Source organism: Homo sapiens, chromosome 7 (genome assembly GCF_000001405.40).
Source record: "Homo sapiens chromosome 7, GRCh38.p14 Primary Assembly".
NCBI classification, from domain to species: Eukaryota; Metazoa; Chordata; class Mammalia; order Primates; family Hominidae; genus Homo; species Homo sapiens.
This window is the reverse complement of record NC_000007.14, coordinates 138589997-138612821: the sequence shown is the minus strand read 5'-3', so window position 1 is coordinate 138612821 and position 22825 is coordinate 138589997. Positions and strand designations below refer to the sequence as shown.

At 40.4% G+C, this 22825-nt stretch overlaps 1 protein-coding gene across 10 annotated transcripts in view, besides 1 other annotated feature; it reads left to right on the top strand.

The window, feature by feature from the left end:
* SVOPL (SVOP like) overlaps window positions 1–18537 on the top strand; it is a 107078-nt gene extending 88541 nt beyond the window's left edge. For all 10 annotated transcript variants that reach the window (NM_001139456.2, XM_011515797.3, XM_024446655.2 and 7 more), the window contains 2 exons: window positions 16292–16405; window positions 18201–18537. In NM_001139456.2, the coding sequence (NP_001132928.1) occupies window positions 16292–16405; window positions 18201–18212 (126 nt within the window). In that variant the 3' untranslated portion in view covers window positions 18213–18537. The remainder of the gene's footprint in view (window positions 1–16291; window positions 16406–18200) is intronic.
* Window positions 1684–1978: a silencer, noted in NCBI's record as "tiled region #10989; K562 Repressive non-DNase unmatched - State 5:Enh". NCBI's record gives its function as "represses a minimal TATA promoter and a strong SV40 promoter by Sharpr-MPRA in K562 cells {active_cell/tissue: K562}" and the evidence as "EXISTENCE:reporter gene assay evidence [ECO:0000049][PMID:27701403]".

Here is a 22825-nt window from a genome sequence, read left to right as displayed (position 1 = left end):
CATTTCTGGCCAGGCGCGGTGGCTCATGCCTGTAATCCCAGCACTTTGGGAGGCCGAGGCTGATTGATCATCTGAGGTCAGGAGTTCGAGACCAGCCTGGCCAACATGGTGAAAACCAGTTTCTACTAAAAATACAATATTAGCTGGGCATGGTGGCAGGCACCTGTAATCCCAGCTACTCAGGAGGCTGAGGCAGGAGAATCCCTTAGAACCTGGGAGGCGGAGGTGCAGTGAGCTAAGATCACACCACTATACTCCAGCCTGGGCGATAGAGCGAGACTTTCTCTCTCTCACCAAAAAAAAAAAAAAAAAATTAAGTCTGGCTTGGATAAGGATGAAAGATAAAGTCTTATCTTTCTTTTTTTTTTTTTTTTATTTTTTTTTTATTTTTTATTTTATTTTTTTTTTTTTTTTTTAATTTATTTTTTTATTGATAATTCTTGGGTGTTTCTCACAGAGGGGGATTTGGCAGGGTCATGGGACAATAGTGGAGGGAAGGTCAGCAGATAAACAAGTGAACAAAGGTCTCTGGTTTTCCTAGGCAGAGGACCCTGCGGCCTTCCGCAGTGTTTGTGTCCCTGATTACTTGAGATTAGGGATTGGTGATGACTCTTAACGAGCATGCTGCCTTCAATCATCTGTTTAACAAAGCACATCTTGCACCGCCCTTAATCCATTTAACCCTGAGTGGACACAGCACATGTTTCAGAGAGCACAGGGTTGGGGGTAAGGTCACAGATCAACAGGATCCCAAGACAGAGGAATTTTTCTTAGTGCAGAACAAAATGAAAAGTCTCCCATGTCTACCTCTTTCTACACAGACCCGGCAACCATCCGATTTCCCAATCCTTTCCCCGCCTTTCCCGCCTTTCTATTCCACAAAGCCGCCATTGTCATCCTGGCCCGTTCTCAATGAGCTGTTGGGCACACCTCCCAGACGGGGTGGCGGCCGGGCAGAGGCTGCAATCTCGGCACTTTGGGAGGCCAAGGCAGGCGGCTGGGAGGTGTAGGTTGTCGAAGCTATATATTATTAACTATTGTCATACCATAATGGTATAGAGCATTAGAACTTATTCCTCCTATCTAGCTTTAATTTTCAATCTTTTAACCAAAGTCTTATCTTTCAAGGGTCACAAAAAAACCCTAATTTAATGGTTACAGCCGAAAGATGATCTTTTTGTCCTATATAAATGCCTGATGTTCTCTTGAAGCATGGGGAAAAAAAATCAGCTCGTAAGATGACAGAGAACTTCACAAGTTAATGGGAATCAAATTACATCCATTTAATTTTTTCAGAAGTGATTTCCAATAAGCCATGAACTTATTGAGAAACTGTACGTTGTCAAAGATCAACAGAGCTGGGCACTAGTTAAAGGGGTAAGGATTGGTTTGGTTTTTGTTTTGTTTTGTTTTGTTTTGTTTTGTTTTGGGGTTGGGGGTTTTTGAGACAGAGTCTTGCTCTGTCGCCTAGGCTGGAGTGCAATGGTGCGATCTCAGCCCACTACAACCTCTGCCTCCTGGGTTCAAGCAATTCTCATGCCTCAGCGTCCCGAGTAGCTAGGACTACAGGCGCACACCACCATGCCCCACTAATTTTTTTATTTTTAATAGAGACGAGGGTTTGCCATGTTGGCAGGGCTGGTCTAAAACTCCTAACCTCAAGTGATCTGTCCACCTTGGCTTCCGAAAAGTGCTGGGATTACAGGCGTGAGCCACTGTGCCCGGCCAAGGTTTTAATCAGTAATAACTATTGCAAAAGAGAAGAGTCCACGGTGAACTGAACTCAGCCTCCATTTGTACAGAGGTGACTGGGTGTTTCAAAGGGAGAGTGGCAGCGGTCTTAGGAGGGTGGCAGGGGCTTGAGCACAGTCAGTGAAGTGAAACATTACAAATACCTGTAAGTGGGTGTCAGTCTGTGTAAATCCCACCTGGATTTGCTAAGTGGCGCTCTTTAAAGTTAGGCTCTGTCAAGGCTGGGAACCTGGGGCCCTATCTTCAGATGTCAGCTAGAACAAATAGATTCTTGGGCAGCCTTGAGTTTTCTCAGGGAGGCCCTTCAAGGGTGGCTGGAGCCTCATAAGGGTGTGTCCTTGAGCTCTTAGAAACTACGTTAGTGTTTAAGTGTCAGGGCAAGGTCAAGGCCTAGTGGAGAAGAGGGCTCATAGGAGCTGGGCTAGGGTTCGGTCAAGGAGAGGATCTTAGCCTCTAATTTATAAATATGTTTGTGTGTGCTGTATTTTGAGTGATTTAAGAGTTTTCCCAAGGGCAATTTTGACCACGTGATTTTTTTTCTTCCATCCTGAAAACACAAAAACCTACAAAGTAGAATTGAAACTTTACTAATATCTCACCATTTAATGATAACAAAGATAAACATTTTAATGAGGCTTTTAAAATATATTTTTCTATGTGTGTGTGTATAAATATGCATATACATTGTTAGTGATGTAGGCTCAAATAAAAAAAAAAAGAGTATAAATTTCACCCAAATATCATAGTACTTTTTATAGCCTGCTCTTTTACTCTCTCTCTCTTTTTCTTTTTTTATGTATGGACAGAGGAGAGGGAGGGGAGAAAGAAAAGAAAAGGAAGGAAGGAAAGGAAAAGGAAGAAAAAGATCTTTTGTTCGTATGTTGTAGACATTTTTCATGTCCATAAATATAAAAAATAGGCATTAAGCTGAAAAATATTTCATTGTATGTATATCCCAGAAGTTACTTTTCAGTTAGTTCTGTATTATTGAACATCTCAACTATTTCAGAAAGATTTTAATATAAACCACAATAATAAGGCTAGGCATGCTGGCTCACATCTATAATCCCAGAATTTTGGGAGGCTGAGGCAGGCATCGGATCATTTGCGGTCAGGAGTTAGAAACCAGCCTGGCCAACATGGCAAAACCCCGTCTCTACTAAACAAAAATTATCTGAGTGTGGTGGCGGGTGCCTTTAATCCCAGCTACTCTGGAGGCTGAAGCAGGAGAATCGATTGAAACTGGGAGGTGGAGGTTGCAGTGAGCTGAGATCACGCCACTGCATTCCATCCTGGGCAGCAGAACGAGACTCTATCCCTCTCCCCACCCCCAACGCCCCCACCCCCCCCAAAAAAAAAACAGTAATGAGCATCCTTGTGCTTGCTTTTGTTTTTTGTTTTGTTTTGTTTTAAGACAGGGTCTCACTCTGTTGCCCAGGCTGACAGGCAGTGGTGCGATCACAGCTTATTGCCACCTCAACTTCCTGGGCTCACATGATCCTCCTATCTCAGTCTCCTGAGTAGCTGGGACTGCAGGTGCTCACCACCACACCCTGCTATTTTTTTTTTTTTTTTTTTTTGTAGAGGTGGTGTCTTGCCATGTTGCCCAGGTTGGAGGCTGGGCTTGAACTCCTGGGCTCAAGCAATCCTCCCACTTTGGCTCCTAAAGTGCTGGGATTACAGGCGTGAGCCATCGGGCCCAGCTGTGCTTACATTTTTATCCAATTGTGCAATTATCTCCTTAGGGTGAATCCCTAGAAATTGGATTGGTAGGTGAAGGGGTCTGCTCGCTTTCATTTTGGTACATTGTGCTCAAGTCCTCTTGGGCGAGCTTGTCCCAGTGCCTGAGAGCCTTGTTGCTTCACATATCGGCCACAGATGTTAGTCTTTCATCTTTGCCAATCTCACTGGCAATAAATGATACCTCTTTATTATTGTAATTAGTGTTTCTTTTATTAGGAATGGTACTGAATGTTCTTATTCATATTTTAATTGGGTAATTTATCTTTTTTAGCTTGCCCACTCAGGTACTTGCCCATTTTTCAATTCAGTCTTTAAAGCATGGATCTGTAAGAGCCTTTCATAAATATGTGTGTATATATATGTGTGGGTGGGTGGGTTTGTCTATAAAGGATTTTTAGCAGTTTTTCTGACATATTACAAATATTCCGTATTTGGCAATTACGTTGCAGAGATTTGTTATTTGTCTTTCATTCTTGTTCGTGTTCTCCTTTTTCTGTGCGGGGTTCATAGACACTCAAATGTATCAGTATTTCTCTGTATATTTCTCGAGTCTGCAACTAGGATTATAAAAAACACACACCTCTTTTCTTCCAGGCCTTCTATGGCATTTTCTTTTTTGAGAGGGCAAGGGGGGGGAGTGTACACTTTTGATTGAAGTATAACATACACGTGGAAGTGCCCACATCGTACATGTCCAACTTACTCACATTTCACAGAGTGAATGCAACCCAGATTCTGACCCAGACATCCCTGCTGTGCCCTCTTCCAGGCCGTGGGCGTCTGTTGAGGCGTGAGGTCCAATGCCGGAAACAGCTGTACAATTTCCCCCAGTGGCAAGCCGGCTGTCTCAACACGACGTATTGAAAATCCATTTTTTACTCATAGGTTAGAAATGTCTGTTTGCTTATGTTCCCGCAATTGGCCTATTTCTAGCTCGCTATTTTAGTCCATTGATCTGTCTGCTTTTGTCACTGACATGTTCTTTTTATTACTCTAATGAGATTTATAGCACGTTTTTTAAACTGGCTGTTCTAAACCCACTTCATTGCTCTTTTTCAGAATCACTTAGTAACATTCCACCCAAATCCTATTAACATTTTAATTGTTAATGTGTTCAATGTAACAGCTAATAGAGGAAAAATTGACTTTTTTTCTGATAGCGTTGTCTATGTATCCAAGAACAAGGTTTGTCTCTTTCTTTGTCCAATCTTTCCTCCTATGGCCCTTGCTGGGATTTTATTGTCTTCTTCAAATAGATCCTATGTGTCTTGCTATGTTTATTCCTAGGCATCTTATGGCATTTTGTTGTTATTAGGAATGGATTGTTTTCTTTCATTATAACTTCTATTTTAACATTCCAAGTAGTTATCTATATTTAGAAGGCTATTGATTTTTTTAATATTGATTTTTAAACAACCAGCTTACTGAATGCATTCCTAATACTTTCTCATTTGAGTCTCTTGAGTTTTTCAGGTTTATAATTGTAGCCCTTCTGCGATTTCTATTTATCCCTTGATGCTGAATGCTTCCAATCAGCATTTAATATGCTTCGGGTTCCACAGCTTCCAAGCTGTAAAATCAACCTTGTTCACTACTGCTTTTCTCCTCTTTCCAGCTAACCTCCTTAAAAGAGTTCTCTTCCTGCTTCATTTCCTGCCTTCCACTCATTCCTTCACCTCCTCCAAGCTGGCTGCAGCCATCTCTACTCCACCAAAATCATTCTTGGTAAGGTCTCCAGTGACCTCTGTGTCTCTAGGTTCAAAGGTCGTTTTAACCCCTCATCTCACCTGACCTTTGACCTGCGTTAAGGACTGCTGGCCGTGCTCTCCCTCCGGCATCCCGTGTTCCCTTCTGGTGGCTCCATCACTTGCACTCTGTGGGTTTCCTCCGACCTCTGTGGCCGCTGCTTCCCCATGTCTTTGTGACTTGTCTTCCTCTACTCTTTCTTTGGTTGTGGATTTCTTATTGCTCAATATTAGACCCTTATAGTTTCTTATTTCACTCTCCATTGAGATGGTATCATCCATTTTATGACTTTAGTTACCAGTGACTTCCTCATGAACCCCAAACTTCTATCTCTAGACGAGGCCTTGCTTCTCGCTCCAGATTCATCCACCTGATTATCTCCCCAGCATTTTCGCCTGGATGTCTCAAAAGCATCTTAAATCTAGCATGTTTGAAATTAAACTCCTGACATCTCTCCCCAAACCCGTCTGGCCTCCCTGCTGTGAGCTCTTATGGCACCTTGAGCTTTTCCTTCATATCACTTATTGTATTGAGAGAGGAGAATGAAAAAAAAAACAAAAAACAGTTAAGCAGACAGTTAGGGCAAGTCCTCCATAGAATTCTTTTTTTGTTTTGTTTTGTTTTCTTGAGACAGAGTCTAGCTCTGTCACCCAGGCTGGAGTGCAATGGTATGATCCCAGCACACTGCAACCTCTGCCTCCTGGGTTCAAGCAATTCTCCTGCCTCAGCCTCCTGAGTAGCTGGGATAACAGGCATGCGCCACCACGCCCGGCTCATTTTTGTATTTTTAGTAAAGATGGGGTTTCACCATGTTGGCCAGGCTGGTCTTGAACTCCTGACCTCAGGTGATCCACCTGCCTCCGCCTCCCAAAGTGCTGGGATTACAGGTGACAGCCACTGTGCCTGGCCTGTAGAATTCTTTTAAACAGAGGAACAGCCTAAAAAATCAAGCTGTAGCTGCACAGAGAAGGGAGCAAGGCCCAATGTGGAGATGCCTTTGTTTTTTGTGTAATGAGCGGGCTCCTTGGGAAAAAATTTCCTCCCCTTTCAGACATGTCCACAGTGGGCTCTGTGGGAACTTGCATAGAAGGGAGGCTTGCCTGAGACATACCCACAGCTGCACAGATAAGGGCAGTTACACAAGTAACTACGCAGATAAGGGAAGTTACACAGGTAGGGAAGTTTCTTATAAAAGCTTTTGTATTCAACTGAAAAATGGCAACCCTCTTCTGGGTCCCCTCTCCACAGTGGAGAGCTTTCCTCTTCTGCTTAATAACTTTCTCTCCAACCTCACCCCTGGTGTCCACATTCCTTAATTTTCTTGGTCGTGAGACAAGAACTCCAGGTAATACCTCAGACAACAAGACTGCAACAATATTGTAATTGCCCATTTATTTTCCAGGCTATTTAAAATCAATCTCTTCCAATAGACTTTACTCGCCATGAGGACCAGGACGTGTGCATAGATGGCTAATTTTTGTGTTCCCGGCTCCTACCGTAGTAACTCTTACTTGAGTGACCTGGTGCTCAAAACATTTTATGAATGATTTCTAACTGGCTTTTTTTTTTTAAATAGAAAAAAACAATTTAAAAAAAAATTTATTTGTATTCAACTATTTTACTGAAATATGAATTTGAGTCCTTGGAGAAACAGATGCCAACATGGAATTGCACATGCAAGAGGTTGATTGGAAAACACCCGAAGGCTGCTGGAGTGGGGAGGGAGAGCCCTGGACCGCAATGCTGGGTGGCCAGCGAGGACTCCCTCTCAGCCAGAGCCTTTGCCTCAGCTGGTGAACTATTGAGATTTATTTGACAGTATTTGTCATTTTTGAATCAATTCTCATAAATGGATGGTGACTGGGACTGTTTGTGGTTATGTGTTTTATCTTGTTAGTTTCCAGAATGACTGTCATTCTATTTTTTTTTTTTTTTTTTTTGCCCAGGTTAGAGTGCAGTGGTATGATCTCGGGTCACTGCAACTTCTGCCTCCCAGGTTCAAGCGATTCTCCTGCCTCAGCCTCCCAAGTAGCTGGGATTATAGGCGCCTGCCACCACGCTCAGCTAATTTTTGTATTTTTAGTAGAGACCGGGTTTCGCTGTGTTGGCCAGGCTGATCTCAAGCTCCTGACCTTGGGTGATCCATCTGCCTCGGCCTCCCAAAGTGCTAGGATTACAGGCGTGAGCCACTGCACCCGGCCTTCATTCTAGTCTTATTAAAAAGACATGGGAAAATTTTCTTTTCTCTCTAGACTCTGTTCCTTGGAGATTTGAAAGAGCTACCTGTGAAAGAGGGAGTCCTGGCACTTTTGAGGATGTTGTTCTTTGGTCATTCTCCGTTTCTTCTCTGGTTGTTTCTCTTAGTTTTATCCTTTTTTTTTTTTTTTTTAAATAAATGTCAGGAAACATTTTTATTGAATGCTTCATTCAAATTTATTAGCATTGAACTGTGGGGAGAATTCTCTTGTGGTTCTTTTCATTTCCTCTACATTAGCGATTATTTTCTCTTTCACATTTTTTTCTCTTTTTTAGAGCTCAGGGCTCATTGTGTTGCCCAGGCCAGTCTTGAACTCCTGGCTTCAGGTGACCCTCCCATCTCAGCCTCCCAAAGTGCTGGGATTACAGTTATGCACCACTACACCCAACCTTCTTTCACATTCTTAATGCCATGATTTTTTACTTTAATTTCTAACTAGGTTTATTTTTTCGTAAAATAAAATATTTCATGCATCAATTTATCAACCCCATTTGTTTCTATTTTCCAGTGTATTCACTTAAGCTTTTGTTTTTATTTCCATTGCACTAATTTCTTAGGTTTATTAACTTTAACTTCTTGAATTGGAAGAATAGTTCATTGTTTCCATTATTTCTTATATTAACTTTTTTTTTTTTTTTTTTTTTTTGAGATAAAGTTTTGCTCTGTTGCCCAGGTTGGAGTGTAATGGCACAATTTTGGCTCACTGCAACCTCTGCCTCCCAGGTTCAAGAGACTCTCCTGCCTCAGCCTCCCAAGTAGCTGGGATTTACAGGTGCCTGCCACCACGCCTGGCTAGCTTTTTTTGTGTTTTTAATAGAGACGGGGTTTTGGCATGTTAGCCAGGCTGGTCTTGAACTTCTGACCTCAGGTGATCCTCCCGCCTTGGCCTCCCAATGTGCTGGGATTACAGGCGTAAGCCACCATGCCCAGCCCACTATATTAACATATTTTATATTAACAAGATTTACAGTCATTTACATTGTTTTCTTAATATAAAAATATGCTTGTTGTAAAGCTTCATAGAAGTATGTAACTGAATATCATCAAAATTAAGGCTGTTGACCAGGCATGGTGGCTTACGCCTGTACTCTCAGTGCTTTAGGAGGTCAAAGTGGGAGGATTGCTTCATCCTGGGAGTCTGAGACCAGCCTGAGCAACACAGTGGGACCCCATGTCTACAAAAAATAAAAAAACTAGCTGGGTGTGGTGGCATATGTCTGTAGTCCCAGCTACTTGAGAGGCTGAGCTGAGAGGATCACTTGAGCCCAGGAGGTCGACACTGCAGTGAGTCGTGACCACACCACTGCACTCAGCTTGGGCAACAGAGTGAGACGCTGTCTCAATGAAAAAAAAAAAAAAAAAAAAAAAGAATAAATTAAGGTTTTTGAGACAGAAATAATTTTGTAAAGGTTTATCGAAAGCCAAATGTGATGACCACAAAGTTGGGAGTGTTCTGGAGTCTGTCACAAGGAGAAAGGTTTTTATAAGAAAGTTTAAAAGAAGAGAAGGAGGTCTTTCATGTCAGAGTTTTCCTCTTTTCATTGGAGGGTATAATACAGAGGTTACATTCATTAGCTGCAGATTACAACATACAGGCTACAAAGGTCTATGTGCAAGATAGTAAAATTTCATGCTTCATCTAATCTGTTTTTTAGACAGAGTCTCACTCTGTCGCCCAGGCTGAAGTGCAGTGGTGCAATCTCCGCTCACTGCAACCTCTGCCTGCCGGGTTCAAGCAATTCTTGTGCCTCAGCCTCCTGAGTAGCTGGGACCCCAGGTGCATGCCCAGCTAATTTTTTATTAGTAGAGAAGGGGTTTCACTGTGTTGGCCAGGCTGGTCTCAAACTCCTGGCCTGAATTGATCCACCTGCCTCAGCCTTCCAAAGTGCTGGGATTACAGGCATGAGCCACCGCACCCGGCCTGCTTTAGCTGATCTTAAAATACATCCACACCCTATTCAGTGTCAGCAGGTTATACATTGATCAGTACATCAACAATGTGAGGAATTTACCATAGGTTTCTTTACTTGGAGACAGAATGTCACCATCAAATCACAAGACCTCCCCAAAATGGATTAATTTGGAAGCCTGCTTGTTTCTAAAGTAAACTGTCAAATGTGACCTGTAAGTTATAAGGGAAAATTATCTGTAATTTATTGCCAGAGATAATCACTGTAGTTCTTCCAGATGCTTTCATATACATATGTTTTGTCTCTCTGGGCATGTCTGTGTGTGTTCCAGTCATATTTGTATATATGTGGATGTGTATGTATATATAGATGTGTGTTTTATATACATGTTATATGTATTATATACAGATGCATGTGTATCTGTAGATAGAGTTACTTCCATGAATATCTGTATATCTATCTAGATATATCTGTGTTATGGTGACCTGCAGAGGCAGATGGATAACCCCCTTTTCAAAGTTTGGTTCACTTGTTGAGACTGATGACACGAACACACACCAAGAGGGCATAAAAAGGTTTCTTACCTTACTTTACAAAATTGAGGTCCTGGGAGAGCAGGACAGACCTCTCAAGCAGGTCAGAAATGGCCTGAGAGAGCAAGAGAAGGGGACTGTGGTTAGGGGTGGAAATGGGGTTGAGGGTGCCTATGCAAGGGCAGGGGCTTTTGTGGTTTAAGCCTCCTGCTGGCACCAAAGGAAGGAGCACTCAGGCTTTCTCATAAGCTTGTCCAGATGTGGAACACAAAAGGAAGGGGGAGGAGTGAGGCTTAAAGGCCATCAGCAAATGTCGGATGGAGTCAGACACCTCTTTACAGCATATAGCTACATCTGTGTGAATATATATGTAGACATGTCTGTGTATAAACACACACATCTACATATATATATATATATATATATATATATATATATAGCAACTGCCTTTTCTCACTAATAATCTTATGTCAGTACATGTAGATTACCCTCATTCTTTTAAGTAGGTGCATAGATTTCTGTGGCATGTATGTGCCATAATTAGATAGCCATCACCTTGTCAATGAATACATTGTTTGCATTTTATTTTTTTCTGCTATTTACAAGCAATGGGAAACTGAACATTATGCACAACACGCCTTTGTCCACATGTGAGTATTTTTTTTCAAGAGATGGGATCTTGCTTTGTTGCCCAGGCTGCAGAGGCTATTCACAGGAGTGATCATGGATCACTGTAGCCTCAAACTTTGGGCTCAAGTGATCCTCCCACCTCAGCCTTCGAATATTTGGGACTATAAGCATGCACCACCATGCCCAGCTTATGTGCAACTATTTTAATCATTTAACATACAGTTATTGAGCCCTTTTATGTTCCACACACTTTAAAATAGTCAAGGTCTGATTCTTTGAAGTTACATACTAGTGGAGAACGGACAAGGGATGAACAGTCAGTTAATACATCAGATAATGATTAATGCTATGAAAACATAAAACAGGCAAAGGAGCTAGTGATGAGGTGGTTAGAGAGAGCTTCTACAATAGGGCAGAGACACGTGGGAAGTAAGGCAGGGACTCAGGAGCATGTTGGAGGGAAAAGCAGAATTCTGTAGAAAAAGTCTATTGAATAATTTCTAGGTCCAAAGAGTGTACATTTAAAAGTGGATGACCAATCTTATCAAATTATGTTTTATATTTTTTAAAAGTATGCACTTCTCAGTATAATAATTTATTAGAAACTTTCTTTTTTTCTCCCCTACATCTTCCCATTTCCCCCTACCCCTGGTAATCACCGTTTTATTCTATGTATCTGATTTTTTTTTTCTTTTTTAGATTCCACATATAAGAGAGAGCATGCAGTATTTGTCTTTTTGTGCCTGGCTTCTTATTATTAGTTTTTAGCATAATGTCCTCTAGGCTCATTCATGTTGTTGCAAATGGCATTTCCTCCTTTTTCAAGGCGGACTCTTCTTTCATTGTATGTATATATCACACTTTATTCATCTGTTGGTGGACACTTGACTTGTTTCCATATTTTGACTGCTGTGAATAATGCTGCAATGAGCATTTGTGGTAGGAGTGCAGATATCTTTACAAGGTGGTGATTTTCTTTTCTTTTTTTTTTTTTTTTTTGAGATGGAATCTCGCTCTGTCGCCCAGGCTAGAGTGCAGTGGCACGATCTTGGCTCACTGCAAGCTCCGCCTCCCGAATTCACGCCATTCTCCTACCTCAGCCTCCCAAGTAGCTGGGACTACAGGTGCCTGCCACCACGCCCGGCTAATTTTTTGTATTTTTTAGTAGAGACAGGGTTTCACCATGTTAGCCAGGATGGTCTCGATCTCCTGACCTTGTGATCCACCCGCCTCAGCCTCCCAAAGTGCTGGGATTACAGGTGTGAGCCACCGCGCCCGGCCTATTTTCTTAGGGTGTGTATCCAGCAGAGGGATTGCTGAATCCTCTGGTAGTACTACTTTTAACTTCCTTAGGAATATCCACAGGATTTTCCATAGTGGCTTTACCACTGACAGTCAGTTTCCTTTCTCTACATTCTCGCCAAAGCTTATCTCGTGTTTGTGATAGACATGTGAGGTGATGTATCTTACTGTGGTTTTGATTTTCATTTTCCTGATGATCAGTGAGGTTGAGCACATTTTCATATACCTCTTGGCCATTTGTATGGCTTCTTTGGAGAAATGTCTATTCAGGTCTATAAACACATTGTTAAACAAGCATCCGTTTCTTTTCATCATCACCAAAAGGGATAGCATTTTTTTTTTCTTTTGAGACACTGTCTCGCTCTGTCACCGAGACTGGAATGCAATGGCACAATCATGGCTCATTGCAGCTTCAAACTCCTGGGCTCCAGCGATCCTTCCACCTCAGCCTTCTGAGTAGCTGGGAGTACAGGCGTGTGCTGCTGTGTCTGACTAATTTTTTTATTATTTGTAGAGACAGGGTCTCCCTCTGTTGCCCAGGATGGTCATGAACTCCTGGGCTCTAGCTAGAGATCCTCCCAGCTCAGCTGCCCAAAGCTCTACAGTTACAGATGTGAGCCACTGTGCCTGGCCAGGGATAGCAAGTTTTTAAACCCTTTTCAATCTGGTGAACGATAAATTATATCTTGTCTTAATTTGCACTTTGTTCATTATTAATCAATTTGAGCAGCTTTCATTTACTATCGTCATATTTTATTAAATTTTTAATGTAATTTGCAATTTTTCTACAGGCTATTAGCCATGTATCATCATACTACAGATGTTTTTACATTGTTTCTAATTTGGTTTTACTATCAAGTTTTTTGGCAAACAAAATATTAAATTTGTATATAGTCAGTTTACCAATTATTTTCACTTAAGGTGTTTGTTTTCCATCAGGCTTAAATGGCCTTCATCACTTGTTCATATTTCTGCAAATATTTATAAAAATGAAAGTTCAGAGGCTTTCAGTGTTACATGTAACTTTAAATTGATTTTTTTTCCTTTTTTTTTTTTTTTTTGAGACGGAGTCTCGCTCCATCGTCCAGGCTGGAGTGCAGTGGTGTGTCCTCAGCTCACTGCAACCTCTGCCTCCTGGGTTCAAGCAATTCTCCTGTCTCAGCCTCCCGAGTAGCTGGGACCACAGGTGCACACCACCACGCCCTGCTAATTTTTCTACTTTTAGTAGAGACGGGGTTTCACCTTGTTGGTCAGGCTGGTCTTGAACTCCTGACCTCAGGTGATCCACCTGCCTTGGCCTCCCAAAGTGCTGGGATTACAGGCATGAGCCACCACGCCTGGCAAATTGATTTTTTCATAATTTATTTATACATAGGCCTGAAGTAAGGATCTAGCTCTAAAAAGCAACAAAACAATGAAAAAGCAACAAAACAATGCCTAGCTGGCTGTTCCTAGGCCATCAATCATCCTTGTGTGTCACCCCTCAAATGATTAAACATTTCCCTGTTATAATAAACCAAATGTCCATAGATACTTGGATCTATTTTGTGACTCATTGCTTTACTGATCTCTTTATTCCAGCACCAACACTACACTGCTAATGATTGCAACTTTAATTCCTCCTAGGCAAATAACCTCTCTGACTCCCTATACCCCCACATTTTCAGAAGTTGCCTAATTTTTTTATGTGTTAATTCTTTCAAATTAACTTTACTACATAAAGAATCCAGTTTATTTAAAAAGTTTGTTGTAATTTGTCTTTTGACATTTCTGTATTTCTTTTTTTTTTGGTTTTTTTTTTTTTTTTGGAGACGGATCTCACTATGTTGCCCAGGTTGGAGTACAATTATAGGGACTATTCTCAGGTGCAATTATAGAACACTGCAGCCTCTAACTCCTGGCCTTAAGTGATCCTCCTGCCTTAACCTCCCAAGTATCTGGGACTACAGGTGCATGCTACTCTGCCCAGCCAACTTAACTTTAGAATTAGTTTTTTCTCAAAATCCTGCTGGGATTTTAATTTCTATTAGAATTACAGATTGTTTTGGTGAAGATTATATTTTTACAAGATTGTATTTGCCTAAGAACTGAAGTAGATTTTTTAATGTACTTAATAGAGTTATAATTTTCTTATACATTTCTTGTTTATTCCTAAGTATTCTATTTTTGTTCCTATTAGTTGTGTCCTATAAATTTAACATGTTGTGTTTTCATTCCATTCCATGTATTTTTAATTTTTCTTGAGACTTCTTTAGTGCATGGATTACATAGAAGTGTTTGGATATTTTGCTGTTACCTGTTCTTAGCTTGACATCCTTTTAGGACTAGAACACACTCTATGATTTCAATTCTTTTAAATCTCTTGAGGATCCTTTTAGGGCCCTGGATATGGTTTATCTTGGTGAATGTTAAGTGGGCACCTGAACAGAAGATGTATTCTGTTATTGGGTGGCCTGTCCTACAAGTGTCAGTTAGATCCCATTGCTTGATGGTGTCATAAAATTCTATGCTGATTTGCTGTCTAATAGTCCTATCAATTGTTGAGGTAGGAGTATTAAAGTCTCCAACTATTTGTGGATGTCTATTTTTCCTTTTATTTCTAACAGTTTTGCTAAATGTATTTTGAAGCTCTTTTATTTGATGTATAACCTTCAGTATAGCTACGTCTTCTTGGTGGATTGACCCTTGTGTCATCATGTAATGTCTCTCTATTCCTGGTCTGGGCTGCTTTTTAGAAGAAGAGATTAACAACAGATCTTTTTCCTTTTGATACAGTAAATCTGGAGTGGTCTCCAAAAATCTGCATTTTAACAAATTTCCAAAATGATTTTTATAATCAGGTATTACTCAGAGTTCTTGCTTACAGACAACAGAAACTGACTTTAGTAAACTTAGGTAGAATTTATTGGAAAAATACCCAGTAACATCTACTGGATTGTGGAGTCTTGTTACGAAGCTTCAGGGAAGGCAAAAAGCCTAGGCAGTTACTCTCCCTGACCCTGGCTGCTGGAGCACAGTTAGGTGACCCAAACAAACTCAACCCATCCGGGTCTCACACCACCCAGGACTTTAAATGTGGTGTAAAGGATGTAAAATGGGGACAGTTTAGGATTCATTCTGGTGGTGGCGAGAATTCTGGTGTCCAGTAATAGAAGTGGCAATAATGACAGAATCTAGACACATGCCTAATTATGGCATGATCTGATCTTAGTTTAGACTGCCTGGCCTTTTGGTTTCTATCCCTTTTCTGAGCTTGCTTCCAAGATTTCCAGCAGTAAAACACACACACACACACACACACACACACGCAGACGTTATACAAACTCCTGTTTGGGGAAAATTGTAATTATTTTGGGAGACAAAATCAGCATTAGTACCTGTCACTTGCTAGGTCAATTGCAAAATAATTAGTGAGATCAATGTTGTGGGTTCTGTTTGCACGGTGAGTGGAATTATTTAGTGTTTTGGAAAGCAGCAGCCCTGAAACACAGGAGGTACGCTCCCAAATTGTGTATCATAAGAGAAGCTAAGTGGTGGTGGTAACACTAGGCTGTGTGTCAGGATCTGTATGTGACTTTGGACAAGTAATTACTGAGACTAGTCACTTAGTCTAGGCTCATCTGTAAAGGGAAGAAATTGTATTCAGCCAGATAGTTTCTAGGTCTTTCTAAATTATAATACATTATTCTGTGATTCTAGAGAGCTTTGCTGTTGGTTAACCACTTCATACTTTACTGTCGTTGTGAGATTAATGGAGAACTATCAAGAACACAGACCAAGAGAAACTAAAGTATGAGATGGAGTATCTGAATTACCAGTATCTGCGTGAAAAGATCCAGGCCAAAGCATGTGTACAGATGGACAGAAACCCAGTTACTGTGGAAAAATTGACACCAAAGAGTTTTGGTGTCACACAACTCCATAACCGGAGACAAGACACATTAGCAATCCTTTCAGAGACTCTGAGATAACACCTCTTCCAAAAAAAACTTTCACCTGTTTCATGCTGTCAGGACTGAAGAGATAATGGATATTTGGCAGACAGAGGATATAGCATGAAGTGAGAGTTAGAAGTTAAGCAAGCTGAAATGGTATGAGAAAGGGGGTGGGGAAACGGGCAGATCCCCCATCTTTTCCATATATCAAAACTTGGCTCTGGAGATGCCTGACAGGTGGATGCCAAGAGAGGTCTTACCTGGCCAATGCGTGTTAATACCAGTTCCTGTTCTTGGACTAATCACACAAAATGACTACACCAGATTGGCTCAGATAAATCAATTTGTCAGGAAGGTACAACCTGTAGAATGGCTGCAAAGGACCATCTTAGTGAAGTGAATCTGTATTTTCTCTTTCACATAAAGAACAGTTTAGAGGTAACTGGAGCATAATAAATTGAGTAATTCTCTTGTGACTTGCAGGTTCTTATGAGTGCATCAATACTGGGGGCCCTGTGTCTCTTCTCATCTGTCTGTGTTGTATGCGCCATTTCTGCATTCACTCTCCCCATCGAAACCAAAGGACGGGCCCTCCAGGTGAGTGATGCAGGGAACTCTGAAGTCTTTTCAACTACCACTTTTGCCCAGAGCAAATGAACTTGGTATATGGGCATCATTGTAGTTAAAATAACTAATAATTCATATCAGATTTCTTTCTGTAAAGTTGTAGTTTGAATAACAAGGACTTTGTTTTTCTAGTAACAGTTGTAGAGGCCTGAGGATTCTATCCTTCCCACTTTTCTTTCTTTTTTTTTTTTTTTTTTTAAGACAGAGTCTGACTCTGTTGCCCAGGCTGGAGTGCAGTGGTGTGATCTTGGCTCACTGCAACCTCCACCTCCTGGGTTTAAGTGCTTCTCCTGCCTCAGCCTCCCAAGTAGCTGGGACTACATGCACGTGCCACCATGCCTGGCTAATTTTTTGTATTTTTGGTAGAGACGAGGTTTCACCATGTTGGCCAGGCTGGTCTCGAACTCCTGACCTCAAATGATCCACCTGTCTTGGCCTCCTAAAGTGCTGGAATTACAGATGTGAGCCACCGTGCCCGGCCTAGTTTGCCTATCTTTAAGTCTAGTTTATTTTTAATGTAACAATGCATTTTAATCAGATTAGGTGATCTATTATGTAATTGTGAATGCAGGGCTTTGTTTAGGTTCCTTACTTGGAAAGGTGATCCAGTCATTGAGTGCTTAAAGCCAGAGACTTACATGATTCATGTGCTTCCTTTTAATTATAAGCAAAAGGATTATCAGATCCTTTATACAAATGAGGAAACTAAGACACAAGTCGAGCAACTTGTATAAAGGAGCACACTAATATTGTAGTGAGGCTAGAATTTAAACCAGACTGTAACACTAAGGGATAGGAATTTAGCGTCACTTAATTTTGCAAATAATGATACATATAAATGGAAACCTGACTCACCATCTAGAATCTCCTATTCAAGTCATATCCACCTAGAAGGCTTTTCCTCTTCTGTTGACTGGGACTTGGTTTTAGCACTATGGGGAAATGATTCTGCATGATTGTTTATAGCCTTTTAAACAAACAAGTAGGTTCAATACATACAATTGTCTGGGCTAACTGGCTACATGTCTTTGGGAAAAATCTTAAAATACACACCCACACCCACTCCCCCTACTTCAGTGTTGTGAGTGGTTACCATATGAAACCACCTGACTGACACCAATACAGCTTCTAGAAATGTTTATAAGAACATGGCAAAAATAGTAACTTCCTTCCAACAACACATACAGACAGCATCCTAATAATTTGGATGAACCAACCTGGTCAATAGTTTTAAAGTGGTGTTGATTCTGTGTTACAACTACTCTAAGAAACTCTGATTCGACAAGTCTGGTAAACTAAAAATCTAAAACACTATCTAGAAGGAGAATATTGGCCAGGTACAGTGGCTCACGTCTGTAATCCTAGCACTTTGGGAGGCTGAGGCAGGTGGATCACCTGAGGTCAGGAGTTTGAGACCAGCATGGCCAACATGGTGAAACCCTGTCTCTAAAAAAAAAAAAGTTATATATATACACAGACACACACGTGTATATATATGTATGTATGTATATATGTATACATATAAATGTATATATAATGTATGTATATGTATAAAACGTGAATTTTTCTAAATGACATCTGCATTATATTAGAATTAAAAAGTTAGCATTGTATCTTCAGATACACAAAGGTAAATGCTAGGATTTTCCCTCCTAATAATTTTTTATTAAAGAATCTTCTATTACTAAAATATCAGATAGCTCAGTATGAATGGACAAGACTTTTAAAAAGTCTATTACTGATCTATTAAATAACTTTCTTCCAGCAAATTAAATGAAGACCTGCAAAGCTATGTCTACCAGATGAGAAAAATGAATTCTATCTTCAGAACTGCGGTGCATTTTTTTAAAACTTGGTTTTACTTCTGTATGCTACTCGGTAATTAGTAAAGTGATTTTTTTTTTAAAGGCATATATGGGAATGGGGTAGGTAACTGTATATTGATCTCTTCCTTGAGGAACAATATATAAAGTACTTTTATAAAATATAATTTAAGCTTTCAAAGGGGTGTGAGAGGGAGATGGTGGGGGGGAAGATGGCTTTTCTTCATTGAAATCAAGTCTGTAAACCTTTATATGAATAAATACTAAATTTTAAACTTACATTTGATATTCTCCCATGAGGTTTGTAGCTAAACTTGGACTGAAATTTTGTAGCTAAGGCAAGAACCTGGGATGATATCATTTCAAAACTACTAGAATAGCCATCAAGTTCAAATCCAAATTTGCCTATGTAACTTACAGCCTCCATAGTTTGATGAAAATTGCTTATTCATAAAATGCTTAAATTAGAGTGAGTATTACACATAATCACCAAGAAGCAGGGAATAAACCAATTTTCCCCCTTACATTCCCTATCTCTAATTTTATTTCTTTATAGGGGGAATCTTTGATTCTCATGATAAAGATTAAAGAATGCAGCAAGCTTTCCGCCATCATGTAATTACAGGCCTGCCCTATTTTATTGTGCTTCCATATATTGCACTGTTACAAACAGCATGTGCTCACTTTGTCTCTGTGTTATATTTTGGTAATCTGTTATGGTGATTGGTGACCTTTGACATTACTATTGCAATTGTTTTGAGAGTGCCACTAACCACACTCATGTAAGAAGGCAAACTTAATACATGTGTGTTCTGACTGCTCTGCCTACTGGATGATCCCCCTTCTCTCTCCTTTTCCTTAGGCCTTCCTATCCCCTGAGACTCAGTAATATTGAACTTAGGCCAAATAACCCTACAATAGCCTGTAAATGTTCAAGTGAAAGGAAGACTCGCACATTTCTCATTTTAAATCAAAAGCTAGAAATGATTAAGCTTAGTGAGGAGGGTATGTTGAAAGTTACAGGCTCAAAGCTAGGCCTCTTATGCCAAACAGCCAAGTTGTGAATGCACAGGGAGAGTTCTTGAAGGGACTACTTTAGTAAAATGCACGAATGATAAGAAAGCACAACAGCCTTATTGCTAATGTGGAGAAAGTTTGGTCTGGATAGATCAAACTATCCACAACATTCCCTTAAGCCAAAACCTAATCTAGAGCAAGAGCCTACCTCTCTGTGAAGGCAAGTGCAAGGTGAAGCAGCAAGTGCTAATGGAGACACTACAGCAAGTTATACAGATTTAGCTAAAATCACTGATGGTAGTTACACTAAACAGATTTTCATGTCGATAAAATCGTCTTCTATTGGAAGAAGAAGCCAACTAGGACTTTATAGTTACAAGTCAATGCTTGGTTTCAAAGAATAGGCTGACTTTCTTGTTAGGGACTAATGCAGCTGGTGAAGCCAATGCTCATTGACTGTTCTCAAAATTCGAGGGCCCTTAAGAATTATGCTAAATCTACTCTGCCTGTACTTTATAAATGGAACAATGCTTATGACAGAATTATCTTTTTATGGCATGGTTAATTTTTTAACCCCATTTTTTGAGACCTACTGCTGAAAAAAAGGACTTCATCTAAAACATTACTGCTCACTGACAATGCACCTAGTCACCTAAGATCTTGATAATTTAATGTCTGTTAACAAAACATCCATTCTGCAGACCATAGATCAAGAAGGAATTCTGACTTTCAAGTCTTATTATTTAATAAATATATTTCATAAAGCTATAGCTGCCACAGATAGTGATACCTCTGATGAATCTGGGCAAAGTAAATAGAAAACCTTCTGGAAACAATTCACCATTCTAGATGCCATTAAGAATATTTGTGATTCACAGGAAGAGTCAGAATAACTCAGGAGTGAGAAAGACATTGATTCGAACCTTCACAAATGACTTTTAGGGGTTCAAGATTTCAGTGACGAAAGGTACCGCAGATGAGACGGAAATACCAAGAGAACTAGAAGTGGAGCCTGAAGATGTGACTGAATTGCTGTCATCTCAAACTTGAACAGATGAGGACTTGCTTCTTGTGGATGAGCCAAGAAAGTGGTTTCTTGAGGTAGAGTCTACTCCTGGTGAAGATGCTGTGACCATTGTTGAAATGACAACAAAGGATTTAGAATATTATATGAACTTAGTTGAAGCAGTGGCAGAGTTTGAGAAGATTGACTCTAATTCTGAAAGATGTTCTACTATGGGTCGAATACTATCAAACAGCATCATGTGCTACAGAGAAATCTTTCATAAAAGAGTCAATTGATGCAGCAAACTTCATTAAGGAATTGCCACAGCCACCCCAGCCTTCAGCAACTGCCACTCTGAACAGTCAGCAGCCATCAGTATTGAGGCTAGACCCTCCATCAGCAAAAGATTGACCCACCGAAGGCTTAGATGATCATTGCACTTTTCCGTAATGAATTATTTCAAAATTAAGATATGTGAGAAGCTATTTGGTGAAAGAAAATTAAGGTATGTACAGTTTTTAGATATAATGTTATTGCACACTTAATAGGCTACAGTATAAACATAACTTTTATAAGCACTGGGAAACCAAACTATTTGTGACCATTTTTAATGTGATATTCGCTTTATTGCAATGGTCTGGAACTGAAACCGCAATCGTTGTCGTATGCCTCTACTTATATGCTATTTGTTTTGAAACCGTTCCATGCATGCAAGACATCACACCTGTGCACACTGAACTCTTAAGGTTATATATGCTGTAGAAAGAAAGCAACTAAGGTTTATGCATTTATGCATAGGTTATGCATTTATGTTTTGTCTCTTAATTGCCGTTCAGCTGTGTAGTCTTTTTTTTTTTTTTTTTTTTTTTTTTGAGACGGAGTCTCCCTCTGTTGCCCAGGCTGGTGTGCAGTGGTGCAGTCTCAGGTCACTGCAAGCTCCGCCTCCTGGGTTCACACCATGCTCCTGCCTCAGCCTCCTGAGTAGCTGGGACTATAGGCACCCGCCACCATGCCTGGCTAATTTTTTTTTTTTTTTTTGTATTTTTAGTAGAGACGGGGTTTCACCATGTTAGCCAGGATGGTCTCAATCTCCTGACCTCGTGATCCGCCCGCCTCAGCCTCCCAAAGTGCTGGGATTACAGGCGTGAGCCACCGTACCTGGCCTCAGTAGTGTAGTCTCTTTAAAGCAGTCTTTAATGGCTTGTAAGTTGTATTCCTAGGTATTTTATTCTCTTTGTAGCAATTGTGAATGGGAGTTCACTCATTTGGTGCTCTGTTTGTCGTTATTGGTGTATAGGAATGCTTGTGATTTCTGCACATTGATTTTGTATCCTGAGACTTTGCTGAAGTTGCTTATCAGCTTAAGGAGATTTTGGGCTGAGACGATGGGGTTTTTCTAAATATACAATCATGTCATCTGCAAACAGACAATTTGACTTACTCTTTTCCTAACTGAATACCCTTTATTTCTTTCTCCTGCCTGATTGCCTGATTCCACTACTATGTTGAATAGGAGTGGTGAGAGAGGGCATCCTTGTCTTGTGCCAGTTTTCAAAGGGAATGCTTCCAGTTTTTGCCCATTCAGTATATTGGCTGTGGGTTTGTCATAAATAGCTCTTATTATTTTGAGATATGTTTCAATACCTAGAGTTTTTAGCATGAAGAGTTGTTGAATTTTGTCAAAGACCTTTTCTGCATCTGTTGAGATAATCATGTGGTTTTTGTCATTGGTTCTGTTTATGTGATAGATTATGTTTATTGATTTGCGTATGTTGAACCAGCCTTGCATCCCAGGGATGAAGCCAACTTGATCGTAGTGGATAAGCTTTTTGATGTGCTGCTGCACTCGGTTTGCCAGTGTTTCACTTGAGGATTTTCGCATTGATGTTCATTAGGGATATTGGCCTGAGATTTTGCAAAAACTACTATTATAATATGAATGCCAAAATATTTATTTTGGACTGTTTGTACCTCGGGTTTTCTTAACATACAACCTCATTAGTGAATCCCTAAAAGGAGCAGTCAGATAACCAGCATCACCATCAAAGTTTGGCACTTGGTTGCCTAGTTTGTTGTTCCTTCTTGTTAAGAACACCCTGGGCTGAATGTGGTGGCTCATGCCTGTAATCCCAGCACTTTGGAAGGCTGAGGCAGGAGGATTGCTAAAACCCAGGAGATGGAGGCTGCAATGAGCCATGATGGTGCCACTGCACTTCCGCCTGGATGACAGAGGGAGACCTGCCTAAAAAAAAAAAAAAAAAAAGAGAACACCCTGATTTTCCCTTGGAGAAATGCCACTTCTCAGGTCAGTACATTTTCATTTAAAAGGTGAGGAGGGCTTAACTCTGGTTGATCTGTATATTCTATCCTCTCCCCCAAAGCAATGGCAACTGGCATTCAGTCATTTGCAATGGAAAGATTCCTGACTGACTTTTTTCTGGTTCAGTTGTCTTGGGGTTAAAGGCATTAGTACATAGGCAAAGAATCCACCTTCCCAAGTATCTCGCAGGGAATGTTAAAACAGCCTTTATTCCATACCACATG